A 19,868-nucleotide genomic window follows, 5' to 3' on the forward strand; every position below is an offset into this window, starting at 1 on the left:
GCAGTTCACTCCTTCCCTACACTTTTTCATACAGTGTGGATGCTTCTGTTGGTGGAGTACCGAACTTACCTCTCTCATCCTTTTAGGAGCTTTCTGTGCCTGCCTTTAACCCTAATACACAAAACATGTGTGTATGTGCTACCATCACATTATACATACCTTTTAAGATTACACTTATCACACTGCACTTATTCTTTGCTTAGCTCCTTGATTTTGAGATCTAAGAAGGCGGGGACCACATTTCACCTATTTTTGAAATTTTACTGGCTGATATGGTTTGGCTGTGTCCCCACCCAAATCTCATCTTGAGTTGTAGCTCCCACAATTCCCACATGTGGGGAGGGAACTGGTGTGAGGTAATTGGAACATGGGGGCAGGTTTTTCCCATGCTGTTCTCATGATAGTGAATAAGTCTCATGAGATCTGATGGTTTTATAAAGGGGAGTTCCCCTGCAGAAACTCTCTCTTGCCTGACGCCATGTAAGATGTCCCTTGCTCTCCTGCCATGATTGTGAGGCCTCCCCAGCCATGTGGAAGTGTGAGTCCATTAAACCTCTTTCCTTTATAAATTACCCGGTCTCAGATATGTCTTTATTAGCAGTGTGAGAACAGACTAACCTACTGGCTATTGACCAGCACTACGCAGTTTGGCTTGGGTTGCTCTACTCTGATCTGTTTAGAAAGACAATATTAATTTGACTTCTGACTTTTATTTTATTGTGGTAAGATATTAGGTGTATAATATGGTATTATTATCTATAGGCACAATGTTGTACAGCAGATCTCTAGGACTCATCAATCTTATATAGGTGAAATTTTGTACTTGTTGATTAACTATTTCCCATTTTCCCATTGCTCCAGCTTCTTTCAACCACCCTTCTATTCTTTGCTTGTAAGGGTTTGACTACTTTAGATACCCCATATAAGTGAAAGCATGCAGTATTTGTCCTTCTGTGCCTGGCTTATTTCACTTAGCATAATGTCCTCAAGGTTTAACTATGTCGTCACATATTGCAGGATTTCCTTCTTTTTAAAAGTCGAATAATAATTCATTGTATGTTTATACTGCATTTTAAAATCCATTCATGTACTGGTGGACATGTAGGTTGTTTCCACATTTCAGGTATTGTGAATAGTGCTGCAATAAACATGGAATGCAAGTGTTACTTTAAAATCTTGATTTTAATTCTTTTGGACATGTATAGAAGAGGGATTGCTGATCCCACTACTGGGTATATACCCAAAGGATTATAAATCATTCTACTATAAAGACGCAAGCACACATATGTGTACTGTGGCACTATTCACAATAGCAAAGACTTGGAACCAACCCAAAAGTCCATCAATAATAGACTGGATAAAGAAAATGTGACACATATACACCATGGAATACTATGCAGCCATAAAAAAGGATGAGTTCATGTCCTTTTCAGGGACATGGATGAAGCTGGAAACCATCATTCTCAGCAAACTATCACAAGAACAGGAAACCAAACACTGCATGTTCTCACTCATAAGTGGGAGACGAACAGTGAGAACACGTGGGCATAGGGAAGGGAACATCACACACCAGGGCCTGTCAGGGGATGGGGGGCTAGGGGAGGGATAGCATTAGGAGAAATACCTAATGTAGGTGACGGGCTGATGGGTGCAGCAAACCACCATGGCACGTGTATACCTATGTAACAAACCTGCACATTCTGCACATGTACCCCAGAACTTAAAGTATAATAAAAAATAAAATAAAATAAAATAAAAAAAGAAGTGGGATTGCTGGATCATATGGTAGTTCTATTTTGCATTTTTTTGAGGAAGCTGCATACTGTTTTCCATAGCAGCTACATCATTTTGCATCCTCACCACAAGAATTCCAATTTCTCCCCATTCTCACTAATACTTGCTTTTTATTTTTTTTTTATGATAGCCATCATAACAGGTGTGAGGTAATATCTCATTGAGTTTCTGATTTGTATTTCCCTGATGATTAGTCACATTGAGTATCCTTTCATATACGTTTTGACCATTTGCATGTCCTCTTTGGAGAAATGTGTAAGTCGTTAGCCCATTTTTTATATAAGGTTATTAGTTGTTTTGCTATCGACTTGCAGGAAGGAGTTCCTTATATATTTGGAAGTTACCCTTTATCAGATGCAAACATTAGAAGTGACTTACTTCTTTTCATCTTCTTTTATCATAAAATACATTCTGCTATTTAAGATTCAGCTAAATCAGAGATAAAGAGATAAGGTGCCTGCTTCATGCTCACCTCTTATTTGCAGTCCTAACTACCCCTCCCCCCACACATGCCCCCACCCTTTAGGGAAAGAGTTCTTTGGCAATAGTACTTCAAAGTTCACTCTAATAAGCTGGGAGCTAGACAGAGCTGATTCAGAATTTATTCTATCACTACACTTCATGATATGGTTTTGCTCTGTGTCCGCACCCAAATCTGACCTAGAAGTGTAATCCCCACATGTCAAGGGAGGGAAGTGATTGGATTATGGGGGTGGTTTCCCTCATGCTGTTCTCGTGATAGTAAGTGAATTCTCATGAGATCTCATGGTTTTATAAATGGTACTTTTTCCTGCGCTCACACTTCTCTCTCTTGCAGCATGTGAAGAAGGTCCTTGTTCCCCCTTCGCCTTCTGCCGTGATTCTAAGCTTCCTGAGGCCTCCACAGCCGTATGCAAATGTGACTCAACTGAACTTCTTTCTTTTATAAATTACCTAGTTCTTGGGGAGTGTTTTTATAGCAGCTTGAGAATGGACTAATACACTTTATTAGTCATTCAACCTCTCTAAGCCTCCATTTGCTTGTCTGTAAAATGGAAGTAATAACGTCTTCTTCATGGAGTCTTTATTATTAGTATTAGAGGATCCAATGAATGGAAAACACCTGGAATAGAGCTGGGTTCCTGTGCATGCTTACCAAAAGTCCTTTCTCTTCTCCTGCAAATCTTTGAATGTCTATCTTGATTAATTCTTGTTGTATTTATATTACATGTTTGAACTACAGGCATTGGAATCAAACTTCCTAAGTACTCATCTTCTCTGGAATACCAACTAGTAACCAAGTAACTTAGTAAACTATGACTCAGTTTGTTTATCTGTAAATTAAAAATAGGCCAGGCGCGATGGCTCACACCTGTAATCCAGCACTTTGGGAGGCCGAGGCGGGCAGATCACAAGGTCAGGAGATGGAGACCATCCTGGCCAACATGGTGAAACCCTGTCTCTATGAAAAATACAAAAAAAAATTAGCCGGACATGGTGGCATGTGCCTGTAATCCCAGCTACTTAGGAGGCTGAGGCAGGAGAATCGCTTGAACCCGGGAGGTGGAGGTTGCAGTGAGCTGAGATGGCACCACTGCACTCCAGCCTGATGACACAGCTAAACTCCATCTTAAAAAAAAAAAGAGTAGTATCACCCCAAGGAGTTGTGGAGACTAAATGAAATGTTTACTTCTTTAAGGAGTAGCCATTTTGTTATGATTTTCACCCTTGGACTTGTGTTTTCACCATTGGACTTGTATTTTAATAGAGTTTAAAACATAGTGGTATGTTTCCATTTTTATGTGTTGCTTTTGTTTTATTGAGGACTATCAGAGATTTCTGAAATTTTTCTGTTTAATGAAGATTTAAATTGCTACGAACACCTACTAACCTCCCTGCCCAGTGCCTCTATTCCTTTGCAGAACAGCTATCTTGCTTTGTCAATTATGTGTTTCAAGTTGTATCTGTCAATCACAGAAACCTGCCTTCTTGGCCACAGTGATTTGTCCATGGGTGGAAATAGCTAACCCAAAGTAGACCAGTGAGTTGTTTTTCTTAGAATGTTAACTTGAGTCAGTTCCTGCAGGCAAAGCTGTGAGTTATTAGACCCCAGGACACAAGATGACCATATTCCCTGCAGTGTAAAACAAGTCAATCTGAACACGACTTCAGAATTACAGAGAGTGGGGCCAGGATGTTCTGATACCATTTGGTCTCTGGTTCTAGCCACTTCTTTGACCAAGCTGTACTCTGTCCTTCATTTGGCTACTTGACACCTCCATGAAATTCTCTTGGTAGCATGTTCCATTTCAATTGGGCTTCTCTCACTTGTGATGTGTCAAATAACACAGAAAAATTTTGGTATGTTAATGATTGTTACAGAAGACAAGGTGGAGCCTGCTATTTTATTCTAATATTATTATATTATAACATTATAAGCCATCTTTATGTTTTAAGTGCCCTTCATGCACATTACTTTTAATGACCATGTAATATTTCATCATATAGCTATATTAAAACTTTATTTAACTTTTCCGCTAGTAAGGTAAATTTAGATAATTTTTTTAAGACAGAATCTTAAAATCAACGGGTGGAAAGCTTTTGATATATATTGCCAAATTGTTTTTAGGAAGGTTGTAGCCCCTGGAATCCCATCTGTACTGTCCAAACACACTGTTTCATTGCACCATTTCTAGCACTGATTATTAATAGTTTAAAATATTTTGATCATTTGTACTAGTAGAGTTCAAAATTTCCTCTCATGTTTATCTTGTGTCTATTTTTCTATCATTTGATTGCTAATGCACTTCTTATTGATGTATATACGTTTTTAAAATACAATTAACTTTTTATAATATTTGTGTTATTTTTTTCCCTTTGTTTTATAGTTTGCTTTAGCTTTTGGTTACTTTTTTATATAACAAAGATTTATATTTTAATGCTACTAAATATATTAGTCTTCCTTTCCCCCCCAATTACTATTAAGCTTAGAATATCCTTCTATGATAAATATCAGATATTCACCTATATTTTACCTTTCTTAAAATAAATATTTAAAAAATTTCATCTGTCATCAATGTGGGATTCATTTTCTCCAAAATAATTAGCCATTCTGAAAACTAATTATTGATTAATCTCTTCTCTCACCTATTGATCTATAATAAGATCTAAAACACAATATATTAAATATTTTATATACGTAAAAATGGTTGTTCATAGATCTATACCAACCATCTACAAATGTATCCTTCTTTCCCATTCTATAAGGTTTTAATTGTTTTATTTGTATATACTTTGATAAGAAGTGACAATAGTAATAGCTATCACATATTGAGTGCTTGCTTACTATGCACCAGACATTGCCCTAAATAATTTCCATTTATTATAATTTTTAAGCTTGTCAAAAACTTATGAATTTCTAAGAGGTTCTTCTTCATTACTCTTCTTTTACAAATTATCCTTAGGTATTCCTGCCCCTCAGATGAACTCTAGAATTATTTTGAGAAGTTCTGTATTTTTTCCTTAAATATAAAAAAATCACTTAATATTTTTACAAATATTGCCAAAATTTTCTTCTGGATGAGTGCAGTAGGGCTGGCTCAGCCTGGGATGTTGGGAGCAGGGACTGGACAAGGGCATATTAGGAACCTCCCCACCACTGCAGAGCAAGGGGAGAGGGAGACGTGAAAATGAACAGACAGTATAGTGCAGTGCTGTTCAATAGAAATATAATAAAAAGTACATCATACAAAAGTACATGTGTAATTTTGAACAACTTTCTAGTAGACAAACAAGATAAAAAAGGTTAAATTATTCTAATAATATATTTCATTTAACCCAACCTATCCCAAATATTTTCAAAAAGTTATCCTTATATAAATTATGAACGGAATATTTTACATTTTTTCTACTAATATTTGAAATGGCGTGAACATTGTACACATACAGCATGGATCAACCGGGATCAACCACATTATGAGTGCTCAGTAGCTTCAGGTGGTTGGTGGCTATGGTATTGCACAGCACAGATTTAGAGAAAGCCTCCAATCTTAGAACAGCAGGGAGGAAAAGGTAGGCTAGGCCAGAGAAAAATTCCACAAGATAAAACCAGCTGTTCCATAGGGCAAATAGAGGGTGAATTTGAGAGTTGCTCAGAGAGGCAATCTAAAACTAGACCTTCTTTCAGAGTCTACATCTTAAGCTCTCAGTGAGTAGTGGTGCTAACAGGGTGCTGGTCCAGTTTAGACAATGATATTTAATCTTCCTTTATATTGCATAATCCTGGAGTGAACAAATAACAGAACATTTACAACTAGAAGAAAAAAGCTAGCATATTTTTAAGGTGGTCTTTTTATTTTGTATATACTCAGATGGTTTTTCAGTGTCACGGGAATATAAAATGAAAAGTTTGAAAAGCTTGTTCCAAAAACGTGAGGGTATTTGAGAGAAAAACTCACCTTCTTTTTTGTTTATTTAGGGAAGGAGATTGAACTGTTTATTAATAATAGAATACAGGACAATACTTCTCTGTATATCTGTGGAGAAGCATAGCAAAATAGAAGGCTTGTTTACTTACGGTGGGTCCAGAAGTTCACAAAAACAAGTCCAGAACTAAGAGAATAAATGTATAGCTCTATGCTATAAAGAAAGTAACATTCAATGTTTTCAAGAAACAATGGTGATCAAATATGCCATCTAAAGTCATCAGAAGTGAAGACTCTTCATGTTGTGCAGTAGCTTCCCCTTATCTGCAGTTTCACTTTCTGTGGTTTTAGTTACCCATTGTCAACTGCAGTCTGAAAATATTAGATGAAATTTTAAAAATAAACAATTCATAAGTTTTAAATTATGTGCCATTCTGAGTATTGATGTAACTGTTCTATTTTATTATGTTACTGTTGTGAATCTCTTACAGTGCCTAGTTTATAAATTAAACTTTATCATAAGTATTTATGTATGTATAGGAAAAAAACATAGTATATTTATATAGGGTTTGGTACTCTCCAACGTTTCAGTCACCCACTGGGGTCTTGGAATGTGTCCTCTGTGGATAAGAGGGACTACCATGGTCTTTATTACCATCTAGTTGGTAATTACTCATCTGCTTCTGTTAAAAAGGATGAAAGGCAAAGCAGATGTCTTCAGAAATACTAGTGAAGATATCTGAAAAGAGAAACTTGCCAATACGTGAAAAATAGCAGTTCACGCAGGTAGCAATAGTGAAGGTAATAGATTCGAATAGACTGATCATTTGCAGTTATTGTTTAAAACCCTGAAGGCTTTATGAATTGTTACCAACAGAGAGATAATGCCTGAATTTGTTTATGGGAAAGCTTTAGAATCTAGAATAGCACATATCTGACTATGGGCTCTAGTTTCAGGAACTTTAATTTAATAAAGTTATTTTGGATTGAATTGTGAAATTACCACTTTTGAGATCACAAATGGCTCAAGATCAGCAATTTCATATAGGCTTAAAAGTATCAGGTGTTGAAAACACTATGTTATTATGAATACAGGAAAATTTAGAAAATGCTTCAAATCTCATTAATCCAAACAATTCTGATGGAGCTATCAGGATGGCTATTTTACTGGGACACAATCTGGGCATTGCTTTAGAACCGAAAATTTGAAGTCAGGTTGCCAGGGTCCTGGCTCCCTAGTTATTTGTCACATGCTGTTGGGCAAATCATTTAACGTTTATCAGATTCAATTTATTTATTCACAAAATAGAGATATTAATAAATTATCTTAATCTTTCAAAAATGGGATTTAAAAATCTTTCATAAAATGGGATTTTAAAATGAGATTACTTAATTCCATAGAATAGGATTATTTAATCTTCTATAAAGTGGGATTTTGTCCATAAAATGGAGGTATTAATAAATGATCTTATTTAATCTTCCCCCTAAAATTATGAGTGAACACCGTTCATAATGTTTTGGTAAAGAAATTTGAGGAAAATAACCTTCAAATTATAGATACACTTTTATGGGAGTTGTGCAAACAATGGGTCTCATTAGGAAATCTAAATTCAAAAATTCAAAAGGCCTTGGCTCTATATCAGAATGAACATCATTCATAGTATTTTGAGGAAGATTATATGAGATAATTTATGCAGAATGATTAAGAAAGTGCCTGGCACTTAGTAAGTGCTCAGTAAATGTCGGTTTTTAAAAACTAAACAGTTTTATTGAAGTATAATTTATGCCATAAAATTTTTCCATTGTAGGTGTACAATTCAATAATTTTTCATAAATTTAAAGAGTTGTCAATAATCACCAGGCTGGGCGTGGTGGCTCACGCCTGTAATCCCAGCACTTTGGGAGGCGGAGATGGGCGGATCATGAGGTCAGGAAATCGAGACCATCCTGGCTAACATGGTGAAAGCCCGTCTCTACTAAAAATACAAAAAAATTTAGCCAGGCGTGGTGGTGGGCACCTGTAGTCCCAGCTACTAGGGAGGCTGAGGCAGGAGAATGGCATGAACCCTGGAGGCAGAGCTTGCAGTGAGCCGAGATCACGCCATTGCACTCTAGCCTGGTGACTGAGCGAGACTCCATCCCAAAAAATAAATAAATAAATAAATAAATAAATAAATAAATAAATAAATAAATAAATTAAATAATCACCATAATTTAGTATTAGAATATGTTCATTTTGCTTGTTTGCAGTTAATTTCCACTTCCATTCTCAGTCCCAGACAAACTCTGATCTGCTTTATGTCTTTACAGATTTGCATTTTTCTCAAAAATGCATATAACTTGAATCAAACAATATGTGGTCTTTTGTTTCTGGCTCCTTTTACTTGGCTTAATATTTTTGAAGTTCAACATTGTTATAAAATGTATCAATAAGTAGTCCCTTTTTATTACATTGTATTACATACTGCATTTTGAAATTCTATTCACTAGTTGACATTTGCACATTTGGGTTATTTCCCATTTGGAAATATTATAAATAAGGCTGCTATAAATGATTACAAATTTTACATAGACATATGTGTTCCTCGGGAATTGCTAGGTTGAATGGTAAGTTTATGTTTAACTTTTTAAGAAACTGCCAAATTATTTTCCAAAGTGGTGCATCATTTTATGTTCCCATCAGCAATGTATAAGGGCTGCAATTTCTCCACATCCTCACCACCACTTACTATTGTCAGTCTTTTTAATTATAGCCATCTTGTGTAAAATGGTATTGCATTGTAGTTTTAACTTAAATTTCTTTAAAGATTAATGATGTTCACTATTTTTTTCACATGCTTATTAACCATATGCCTTTTTTCTTTTTTTTGTAAAACATCAATTCACAAAGGTTGCCCATTTTTAAATTTGCCTTTGTTTTTGTTAAGTTATAAGTGATCTTTATATATTTTGGATACAAGTCCATTGTGAAATGCATGGTTTGTAAATATTTTCTCCCAGTGTGTGGCTTGTCTTTTTATTTATATGGTTTGATGAGCAAAATATTTTAATTTAGATGAAATTAAATTAATCAGCTTTTTAATGGATTGTACTTTTGTTGTCACATCTAAGAAGTTTTTGTCTAAAGTCACAAAGAATTTTCCTTTAGAAAATTTTGGCTGGGTGCGGTGGCTCGTGCCTGTAATCCCAGCACTTTGGGAGGCTGAGGTGGGTGGATCACGAGGTCAGGAATTCACGACCAGCCTGGCCAACATGGTGAAACCCCGTCTCGATTAAAAATACAAAAATAAGCCAGGTGTGGTGGTGTGTGCCTGTAATCCCAGCTACTTGGGAGGCTGAGGCAGGAGAATTGCTTTAATATGGGAGGTGGAGGTTGCAGTGAGCTGAGATCGCGCCACTGGACTCCAGCCTGGGTGGCAGAGTGAGACTCTGTCTCAAAAGAAAAAAAAAGTTTCTCTATTTTTCTAGAGGCTATATAGTTTTAGTTCTTACATTTAGATCTATAGTCTGAGTTAATTTTTGTGTATGGTGTGAGGTAAGGATCTAAATGCTTTTTCTCTTTTTCTTTCTTTTTTTTTTTTTAACTTATGGACAGTCTGTTGTCTCAGCAACATTTCTGGAAAATACTATCCTTCCTCCCATTGAGCTGCTTTGACATCTTTGTTGAAAATAAGTTGACCATAAATATAAATGTTTATTTCTGGACTTTCTTTTTTTTTTTTTTTTTTTTGAGACAGAGTCTTACTCTGTCACCCAGGCTGGAGTGCAGTGGTGTGATCTTGGCTCACTGCAAGCTCTGCCTCCCAGGTTCATGCCATTCTCCACCTCAGCCTCCTGAGTAGCTGAGACTATAGGTGCCTACCACCATGCCTGGCTAATTTTTTTGTATTTTTAGTAGAGATGGGGATTCACCATGTTAGCCAGGATGGTCTTGATCTCCTGACCTCATGATCTGCCCACCTTGGCCTCCCAAAGTGCTGGGATTACAGGCATAAGCCACCGTGCCTGGCCTATTTCTGGACTTTGTATTTTATTCCCTTGATTTATATGTCTTTCCTTATACCAATACAATCCTGCCTTATTACAGTAGCATTCTAGCAAGTTTTGAAATTAGGTAATTCTAATTTTCTCCAATTTTCAAAGTTGTTTTGGCTATTTTGTTCCTTTGCATTGTCATATGTATTTTTGATCAGTTTAACAACTTATAAAAAATTCTGCTGAAATTTTGATCAGGATTACCTTGAACTTATATATTAATTTGGGAAAAAATGTCATTTAAACAATATTGAGTTATTCCATCATTGAACATGAAATGTCTTTTTGATTGGATATTTTAAAATTCATTTCAGTAATGTTTTGTAGTTTAGTATACAACTCTAATACCTTTTAGATTTATTCCTAGTTTATTCTTTTTGATTCTCCTGCCAATGAAGCTATTTTCTTAATTTTATTTCTGGATTGCTTGTTGCTAATGTTTAAAGAATGCAAGTGATTTTTGTATGTTGACATTGTAGCTTGTGATTTTCCTAAACTTGTTTATAAATATAAACCAGTAGTTTTTTTAAAAAATATAAATGTATTAGAATTTTGTATGTAAAGGATGATGTCATCCTCAAATAAAGACAGATTATTTATTTTTCTAGTATATACACCTTTAAGGTTTTCTTCTTGCCTCATTGCTGTAGTTAGAGCCACCAGTACAATGTTGAATAGAAATGGTGAGGGAACATCTTAGCTTTATTTCCAATCTTAGGGGGAAAGCTTTTATCTTCTACCAGTAAGTTTGATGATAACTGTAAGTATTTGGCAGATGCCCTTTATCAAGTTCCTTTCTATTTTCTTCTAGCTTGTTGAGAGATTTTATCATGAATAGATACTGAAATTTGTTACATGCTGCTTATATCTATTGAGAAGAGAATCATGTGGTTTTTTCCTTTATACTATTAAAATTGTGTATATTAATTGACTTTCAGATTTTAAGGCTTGCATACCTGGGATAAATCTAGTTGGTCATGTTGTAGAGTTTTCTTTCTTTTTTTTTTTTTTAAATATATGTTGCTGCTTATTTTTATGCTTTGGAATCATAATTGTGCAAAATCCCTTCTAAGTAAGTAGAATATTTAATAATTGGTTCCTGTGAATGATTACTTATATCCAGCATATTCTAAATCATTTTAGTTGGAAGATTTTTGAGTACCAGGAATGACTGCTCACTGATGTAATGCCCTGTGCCCCCCTCAAACCCAAATGTCTTTGCTCTGTAGTTATCTGTTCTTACCTATTTCTCAGTGAAGATTCTTCTGCATATGGTAGAAGCAGAAGGGAATTTTAAGCATTCTTCTCCAAAACAAAACAAAACAAAACACCAAAAACCTTTCTATTAGCAGTTTTAACCCCAATGTTTTGTGTAATATATTAAAAATGTCATAACTGCTTAACTGATTTCCACTTATATGACTTTGTAGTTTAGCTGCACTCTCCATTACCTTTGCAAACATGCTGACTAGTACTCATGGCATCTTCAGCACCTGAGTGAATAGGCTATCTCTGGTATACTCACATATTTCTGTTCTCACCAGTTGAATTACAAGCTAGCAAGAGTAAGTTGTGCAAGTTGCTTAAACTGTTTATTCCAGATGTACTTGTTATTATAATTCGATAATAATGTAGTTTGGATAGTTGTCCCCACCCAAATCTCATGCTGAATTGTAAACCCTAATGCTGGAGGTGGGGCCTGGTGGTAGGTGTTTGGATCATGGAGGCAGATTCCTCATGGCTTGGTGCTGTCTTCATGACAGTGATTTCTCATGAGATCTGGTCATTTAAAAGACTGTGGCACCTCCCCACCCCACTCTATGTAACTTACTTCTGTTTTCACCATGTGACTTGCCTGCTCCTCCTTTGCCTTCTGCCATGATTGTAAGCTTCCTGAGGCTCCCTGGAGGCCAAGTGGATGTCAGCACCATGCTTCCTGTAAAGCCTGCAGAACTAAGCCAACTAAACCTCTTTTCTGTTTTTTTTTTTTTTTTTTTTTTTTTTGAAACGGAGTCTTGCTCTGTCTCCCAGGCTGGAGTGCAGTGGCGCGATCTCGGCTCACTGCAAGCTCCACCCCCAAGGTTTACGCCATTCTCCTGCCTCAGCCTCCCGAGTAGCTGGGACTACAGGTGCCCGCCACCACGCCCAGCTAATTTTGTTTGTTTGTTTGTTTGTTTGTTTGTTTTTTGAGACGGAGTCTCGCTCTGTTTGTCGCCCAGGCTGGAGTGCAGTGGCGACATCTCGGCTCACTGCAAGCTCCGCCTCCCAGGTTCATGCCATTCTCCTGCCTCAGCCTCCCAAGTAGCTGGGACTGTAGGCGCCCACCACAAAGCCCGGCTAATTTTTTGTATTTTTAGTAGAGACGGGCTTTCACCGTGTTAGCCAGGATGGTCTCGATCTCCTGACCTTGTGATCCGCCCGCCTCTGCCTCCCAAAGTGCTGGGATTACAGGCGTGAGCCACCATGCCTGGCCACTCTTTTCTTTATAAATTACTCAGTCTCAGGTATTTCTTTGTAGCAGTGCAAGAATGGCCCACTGCAGGTAACAATTAAATATTCAAGCTGATTAAATGTGTAAAGAAAGAGATTTACTTTGGTAATCTAGGTAGGTGGTAATAGGTTCAACCAACAAACCCAAATTCAAAAATTCAAAAGACTTGTTCTATGTCAGAAGACTGGAAAATGATTATTCAACAATGGTAAGTTAAAATACAATGTGTTTGTGTGTATGTACATATATATTTCCTACACTAAATGACTTTTACAATTAATAACCATATATAAATCCTGATTGTGTCATTGTGTCAGATAAGAGGTCTTGTACTAAACATCCCCAAATCCCCGTGGTTTGGAGGTTGGGGGTATTTAATCATTTCACGTCTTGTATCATATTAAGTACATAATATGCCTTCATATTAGAATGAGGGGAAATAATAAGACATGGGATTCAGAGAGAGTAAACTGTGCTATTTTACTCTGCTTCCATATTTGAATGTGAGGAAAAATATGTTAGGACACATAATCAACTTTTGGCTTAGATGCAACTTTGTCCCTCTCAAGAGGGAAGAGTTTTTGAGCACCATGATGAGTTATTCAACTTACTTTGTGCAGTCAATGGTTTCTGGCAAGTGAAATAAAGAATAAAATAAGAAAATGAAGACATTTGAGAGTGTAAACAAATAATGAGAGGTAAGGTTAGTTTTTAATTAGAAACAAGACTTCATAAAAGTAAATGGGAAACCAAATGAAAGAGTCAAGCTACCTCATGGTAATAAATATACTCAAATAAAGGAAAAATTGGTCTAAGAATTCATTCTGTAGCATTGTCCTATTATGTGGAAAAATATTCATCTGTAGCCAAATTCCCAATTTCTGTAGCTTTGAGTTTTTTTTGTTTTTGTTTTTGTTTTTTTTCTGGCAGTAATTTGACCAAAGGCTTCTTGGTAGCTGTACACACTTGAGAAAAAGACCATTCTCTTAGATGATTTATTTCCATTTAATTAGAAATCAAGTCATTAGTCTCCTTGTGATCTGATTAGACTACAGTCTTAACATGGTAAAGATTGGAAATAATTGTTATTTAAAAGAAGAAGGAAAGAAAAAGAAAGCCAAATCTCTGAGGACAAAGAACTACGCTCTGCTCTTTCCCTCAGTTAAACCCTCATTAACAGCGTGTGAAGAAGCAAAAACAAAGCCCTCAGTGTTCCCTTTAGAGGATCCTTAAGAGCCTAGTCTGTCTGTAAGAAGCTTTTCTTTTGCTAATGTGGGCTGAATTACTGACAAAGACCAGTGTCAATGGTCTGCTTCAAGAATCTAATCCCTGGAAGGGAAGCATTTCCTTGCATAGCTTTGCAATGCATTTGTCAAACATTTTAAACCGTTTAACAGAAAGAAGCATTGTCATGACAAGACTCAACATTTCCAGTTCTTCAGTTACATCTGCCAGTAGAGCCATGGGATGAGCCTTTCGGGCTGCAGTGCTCAGGCACAAATGCAAATGTATGTGTGGTACACATCTTGTGACTCAGTTTTGATAATTAGTTTTGGCCAGATTTATTAGCATATTTTGCATCTGTTTCTTTGTAGAATATATTATTAATGTCTTATTTTAAGTAATGTATTTTCTGGTTAATCTTGAACTTCTTTTGGAAGGCTAATAAAGTCACGATGACAAACATGTCTTGTTATAATCTCAAAATGATATTGGAACATTGTAAAAGAAAGCCAGATAGAATCTCTCTTTCTCTTGCCAGTTGAAGGTTCATTTTCAATCACTTTTTTTCAAGCTCAATACAGTAAATATCCCGCTATTTCCTCCTCATTGTAGGACTGGAAAGTGGGTGATCTCTTTCCTCCCTATCATAAGAATCAAGGCAGACACTCTAATAACAAAGACATGTTAACAAGAGAAGAGCATAAGAAATTTGATTTTTGAAATTTGATATTTGATTGTAGTTTTAGGTAACATGGAACCTTTGAAGACTCAAAGATACAGGGGAAATTATTCATTTTTATGCCTAGGTTCAATGAAGAATGGACAGTTGTGTAGAGACACGATTGGGCAAGTGGTATGATCTAATGCTTATAGACTGAAGGGGGAAATTGGGCAAAGTCTCTGTTCAGACTCATCTTGGACTCTCTGTGGAGATTCCATCTATGGAGTAGGACTCCTCTGGAAGGAGGGTCTCAACTTCTTTATGGCCAGCTATTACATACAAAGGTGGTGGGTAGGGGAGGAGGGGAAGTGAGTAATATTTTTAGGCCTTATGGCCTAAAATATTTCCCACCTTGGGGAAAAGGGATTCTAATTTCTATGGCTTGCCTTGAGGGAGAATAAGGGGCAAGGGACAAGAGGGCAGGAGGTCAGAGAGAGACTTTTGTTTCTGAGGCCTTTGTTTTGGGGTATCATTTTCTGAGCCCCAACACCATCTAGAATACTGAATCTAAAACTAATATATTCAGGGGATCAATGTACCTATTGTTCTGACTTAATGCATTTGCTTTATGACCGCCAAGCATTGCTCTAAAAAACCACACTAACCGGATTATTCATGATAGTTGCTGGGCTCAAAAATAGGAATCACCATATCAGATAGCACTCACTCCCCAAAATCAAAGACGATAAGTAGTTTTATCCCTCTTCTAAATAAATTGAAAAGGAAGGGTGATGGGGAGAAAGGCTTTAGATTTACCTCAGGCAAGGGATTCAGTGCACTTAGATATCTATTACCTTGTTTATTCTCACACTATCTGCAAGAATTTGGAGGGGAGAGGTAGCATTTATTACCTCTTGCCTTTGGTTACAAAATGCATTAGCAGTGGAGGGAAAAGGTGGGGGATAGTGGAGAATGGAAAACTCCAGAACCATGGAGTTCCTGGAAATGTTCAAATAATCTGCATCTCTTTCTTTGTCTCCTTTCATTTCTCTCCTTCTCTTTTATTCTCCTACCTCTATTTGATGGTATCTTGCGATTTGGAGGATTTTCCTGAAAAAAATTGAAAAGTAAAGCTAATAGACCTGCAGACTTCTTTTTAAAATATGATATTCACAAAGCAACGAATATTCTTATTTTCCCTATTTCATTTATTCTATTCCTTTCTGGCTTTCCCACTTCCTTTCTTTCTTTATTTTTCTTTGAGTGGGGTCTCCTTCTGTTGCCAGGGCTGGAGTGCAGTGCATGATCATAGCTCAGTGCAGACTGGGCCTCCTGGGCTCAAGCAATCCTCTTGCCCAAGCCTCCATAATAGCTGGGAGTACAGATACGCACCACAGTGCCCAGCTAATTTTTTTTTTTTTTTTTTTTTTTTAGTTTTTGTAGAGACAGAGTCTCGCTATATTGCCCGAACTGCTCTTGAATTGTTGGACTCAAGTGATCTTCTGCCTTGGACTCCCAAAGTGCTGGGATTACAGTTGTGAGCCACCATGCCTGACCCTCATTTCTTTTCTTTTCAATGGGACTCTCCCTGCCTCCCAGGTTGCCTGTGAGTAGTGAGTATGGCTTAGTTCTTAGGAACACTTAAGGCTCAGCCTGCTACTGGTCATAGGGACTAGACAGATTCTTGCCCTCCTTCCTCTCAGTCTAATAAACTGTCAACCTCACCTTCTGACCTAACAGCTAATCATTCTTGGAATTGAGAGCAGCAGGAAAAAGTGTTAAGTGATATGTTGCTAATAAAAATTGAATACACATGTTTGGAAATTATTTAAATTAAAGAATTATGAATGTGATGTCAGTCACTTGCTTTCCTTCTTTTTCTGAATGGGGAGAAAGAACTAGAGCTTCAAAATAATTCCATTGGTTTTACCTATGTTTGGATCCTTTAAAGAGCAATATTGCTTTGTGAATATCATATTTAAAAAAGAAATCTGCAGGTCTGTTAGCTTTATTCTTCAATATTTTCAGGAACATCCTCAAAATCACAGGAGAGTGTCAAAAAGGGTTTCCAGAATAGGTTTACTTAACATAGTAAGTGGTCAATACACATGAATTGATGAAAGAATGAAATACAAGAAGTCATCATTCATGTGTTTTGGGGCATGAAACAAACATGAAGAACCGCTACTGTATCCTGCAAGTTTTATGATCATACTTGACTCATATTCATATTAATATCAATTTAATATTTTCAAAGCTAGATTAAAGTTCCAAAATAGATTTTTAAAAGTGGGATTGATAGTTCAGGGCAGATGTTCTTTGAGGAGGATAATGTCTCCTGTCCCCATCAACCCCAGTGTGATGTTCAGGGGTGGTGGTGGGGTGGGGGGTGGTTCTTATGCACAGCCACAGGATCTGTGCCTACCTCTGCATTGTGAATCGTTTTTTAAAAATTTATCTTTTATTTTAAGTTCAGGGATACACATGCAGGTTTTTTATATAGGTAAACTTGTGTCATGGGGGTTTGCTGTACAGATTATTTCACTACCCAGATATTAAGACTAGTACCCATTATTATTTTTCCTGATCCTCTCTCTCCTCTCTCACCTGTGAATCCTTTTTGCTGTTTTTTTTTTTGTTTTTTTTTTGTTTTTTTGTCGGTATCTTCTTAGGCTTGGTAGTAGCTTGGGAGGCTGGGAGATGTCTCCTTCATCTTTTACTTCCAAAGTCTCCAGCTCTGATTGAACAGGCTTGAGTGATTCATAAGCATTGTACTTTTGGAGTCACCTTGTCATATTATTGCAAATGCATTTCAGTGTACTCATACCAAATTAATTATTTTTGTTGTAAAAAATTTTAAAGAGCTTAAAATTACTTGGCTATACATAACACATTTACTTGATAATTGGCCAATATTTCTTGACCAATCAGTGTGCATTGTCAGGAAGTGGTATGACCAGGGAAAGCCCCAAAATCTAATCTGCAAGTTTTTGCAAATGTGGTAAAAATTTTATGCATATCAATTTACTTGAATGATTGACTAAATTGAATAGGTTGTGTAGGCATTTACTTATTACTTCAACTATTGTTTTTCTTTTTGTATTTTGGAGTTTATAATTTTTTTTCAGGTCTCAAACTCTTTTGTAGGCCCTTGAAATGTTCATTGCCACTAGGCATTGAGCCCAAGATGCTTAATGAGTAGAACAGGCCTGCAGTGTAGGGCTCAACAAATAGCTAACATCCAAGTAGCCAAATAGCTGCCCACCAAGGCACAGAATTCATGGGGGGTTACTGCTTTTGAGTAAAGCATTTGGTGTAGGCTTCTCACTGCAGTGCCTCTGAGGCTGAAAGTTTTCAAAGGGAGCAATTAGGAATGAGAATGAAAACAGATTTCACTGTCAGAGAACAGCATTTTCAGAGCATGGATAGAATGAACAGGAAGGAGATCCAGGGGTTTTTGGTTCCCATCAGAAAGTAAGTCACCTAACCACATTTGGATGATTAAATGAAAATAGTTAGGCTGTACAGTGAAAGGCCTGTCCCTGCATCATTGTTTATTTTAGCACCATCTGCTAGGTTCAAGATTAGGAGAAGTGGATGAGAAGTTTACACTGATGCTTTGGTGTGCTTAGGCTGTATTTTAAAAAAGCTTGGTGACACATATTAATTAACTAGTCATAAGAAGCAAATTGTACAGTTTAAAATACCTTTACTTTTTATTTATGATGTTTCTTTTCTGTTCTTCTTGTTCAGACTATAGATCTGCAATTTCTATTTCTTTGGCTTGCCTATAATTCCCATACATCTTTCGCTGAAGTAACTCCTGAGTAATGTTGATTATTTGAGCTCCTTCAAAGGAGAAAATAATTTTCTCTTTCATTCTTGTCTTACTATTATCCTTGTCCTGTCTTCCTTATACTTTCTTTTCTAAGATTCAAATGCTTGAAGCTGAATTTTAGAAAAGAAACAAGTATTTGGAATTGCTTCTAGAATGTTTTAAACATATTAAAACAAAGGTTTCAATGTAATTTTAGTAGAGTTTGCTTATGTTACTATCATCTTTCAGTAGAATTTTTAATATATTAAAATAATGTAAAACCTTTTTAATTTGGAGGATTCTACTAATTCTGATTGCATGAAAATTTTATCCAGGTTGTATTGGAGTTTACCTTTGCATAATACCTAAAAAAATGAATAAATAAGTAATGCAATGAAAAATGCTAATAGACTCTTTTAAAGATATTAAACTATTTTAGGATTAAACTATTTTAGATTAAACTCTATATATTCAATGTAATTTATTTGTATGTTATTAAATGACCTATTAATAAAATTATTCCTGGCAGAGTTCTATAAACTGCAAATTTGTTAACATTTAATTCAATTACTGTGTTTAAATGAACAAAACAGAAGGGCATTTTTGAAACATAATTTATAATTCAGATTGATTTTCTATACACAATGTTCTGAATTAGTCATATATAAATCAATTTCAAGATGGAGTTTTAAATGTCGAAGTGCATCTTTTATTCAGGTCACTATTCAGAAATTATTCTGAAAAAAATCATTTACTGATCTGTTTCCTTAAAAACATCAGCCTCTACTTATCCTTCAGTCATCCTCATCAACTCCCTCCCCTTCTCACCGCCCCAAAGCAAATGAAAGTCTCAAAAAGCATGCTTGAATTCATTGAATGTGTACAAAGAATGTGTTCAAAGCATTCACATTGCTTTTGCTCAGATTTTTCCTCTCCTTCTTTGCATGTTCCTCACTCTCATGTCTTTGCTAGTTTTGCCTTCTTCCATTTCTCCAGTCTCCCCATGGGTGTAGCATCCCTGGATCCCCTTTAGTTAAGGGGTAAGCATTAAATCAAATTAGGTCAGTGCTACTCTCTATCTTTAGTATTTATGTTAAAGTGAACTAAATATGGCCTGAAAAAGCCTCTGTACTTCCATATTTGAGTCCTTTTGGACGAACCGTAACCTAAGTTAATAGGTAGACAAGACTGAAAACCTAACTTAGGCGTATGCTTCTGTAACAATAGCTGAGTCTCAGCCAATCCCAGCAGCCATACTTCAACCACGTGTACACTGCTGACTGTTCAAACTGTGTTCAAAGAAGGCAAATGCCAACCTGTAACCAATCCAGCTGTTTCTGTACCTCACTTCCGTTTTTCTGCACGTCACTTATTTTGTTTGTCTACAAATTTGCTCTGACCGTGAGGCATCCCTGGAGTCTTGCTCAATCTGCTGTGATTCTG

The 19,868-nt window shown here is 36.3% G+C and overlaps 1 long non-coding RNA gene across 1 annotated transcript in view, besides 3 other annotated features; it reads left to right on the top strand.

Moving 5' to 3' along the window:
- The window catches only part of EDNRB-AS1 (EDNRB antisense RNA 1), an 89,506-nt gene that overhangs the window by 20,931 nt on the left and 48,707 nt on the right, over nt 1–19,868 (top strand). The gene's annotated exons all lie outside the window — the stretch shown is intronic.
- Nucleotides 11,665–12,297: an enhancer, noted in NCBI's record as "H3K27ac-H3K4me1 hESC enhancer chr13:78425667-78426299 (GRCh37/hg19 assembly coordinates)". NCBI's record gives its function as "activates a minimal SCP1, AML or CMV promoter by ChIP-STARR-seq in naive H9 embryonic stem cells {active_cell/tissue: H9 hESC(naive)}" and the evidence as "EXISTENCE:reporter gene assay evidence [ECO:0000049][PMID:30033119]".
- Nucleotides 13,505–14,014: an enhancer, noted in NCBI's record as "OCT4-NANOG hESC enhancer chr13:78427507-78428016 (GRCh37/hg19 assembly coordinates)". NCBI's record gives its function as "activates a minimal SCP1, AML or CMV promoter by ChIP-STARR-seq in naive and primed H9 embryonic stem cells {active_cell/tissue: H9 hESC(naive and primed)}" and the evidence as "EXISTENCE:reporter gene assay evidence [ECO:0000049][PMID:30033119]".
- Nucleotides 14,015–14,524: an enhancer, noted in NCBI's record as "OCT4-NANOG hESC enhancer chr13:78428017-78428526 (GRCh37/hg19 assembly coordinates)". NCBI's record gives its function as "activates a minimal SCP1, AML or CMV promoter by ChIP-STARR-seq in naive and primed H9 embryonic stem cells {active_cell/tissue: H9 hESC(naive and primed)}" and the evidence as "EXISTENCE:reporter gene assay evidence [ECO:0000049][PMID:30033119]".

Source organism: Homo sapiens, chromosome 13 (genome assembly GCF_000001405.40).
Source record: "Homo sapiens chromosome 13, GRCh38.p14 Primary Assembly".
NCBI lineage: Eukaryota > Metazoa > Chordata > Mammalia > Primates > Hominidae > Homo > Homo sapiens.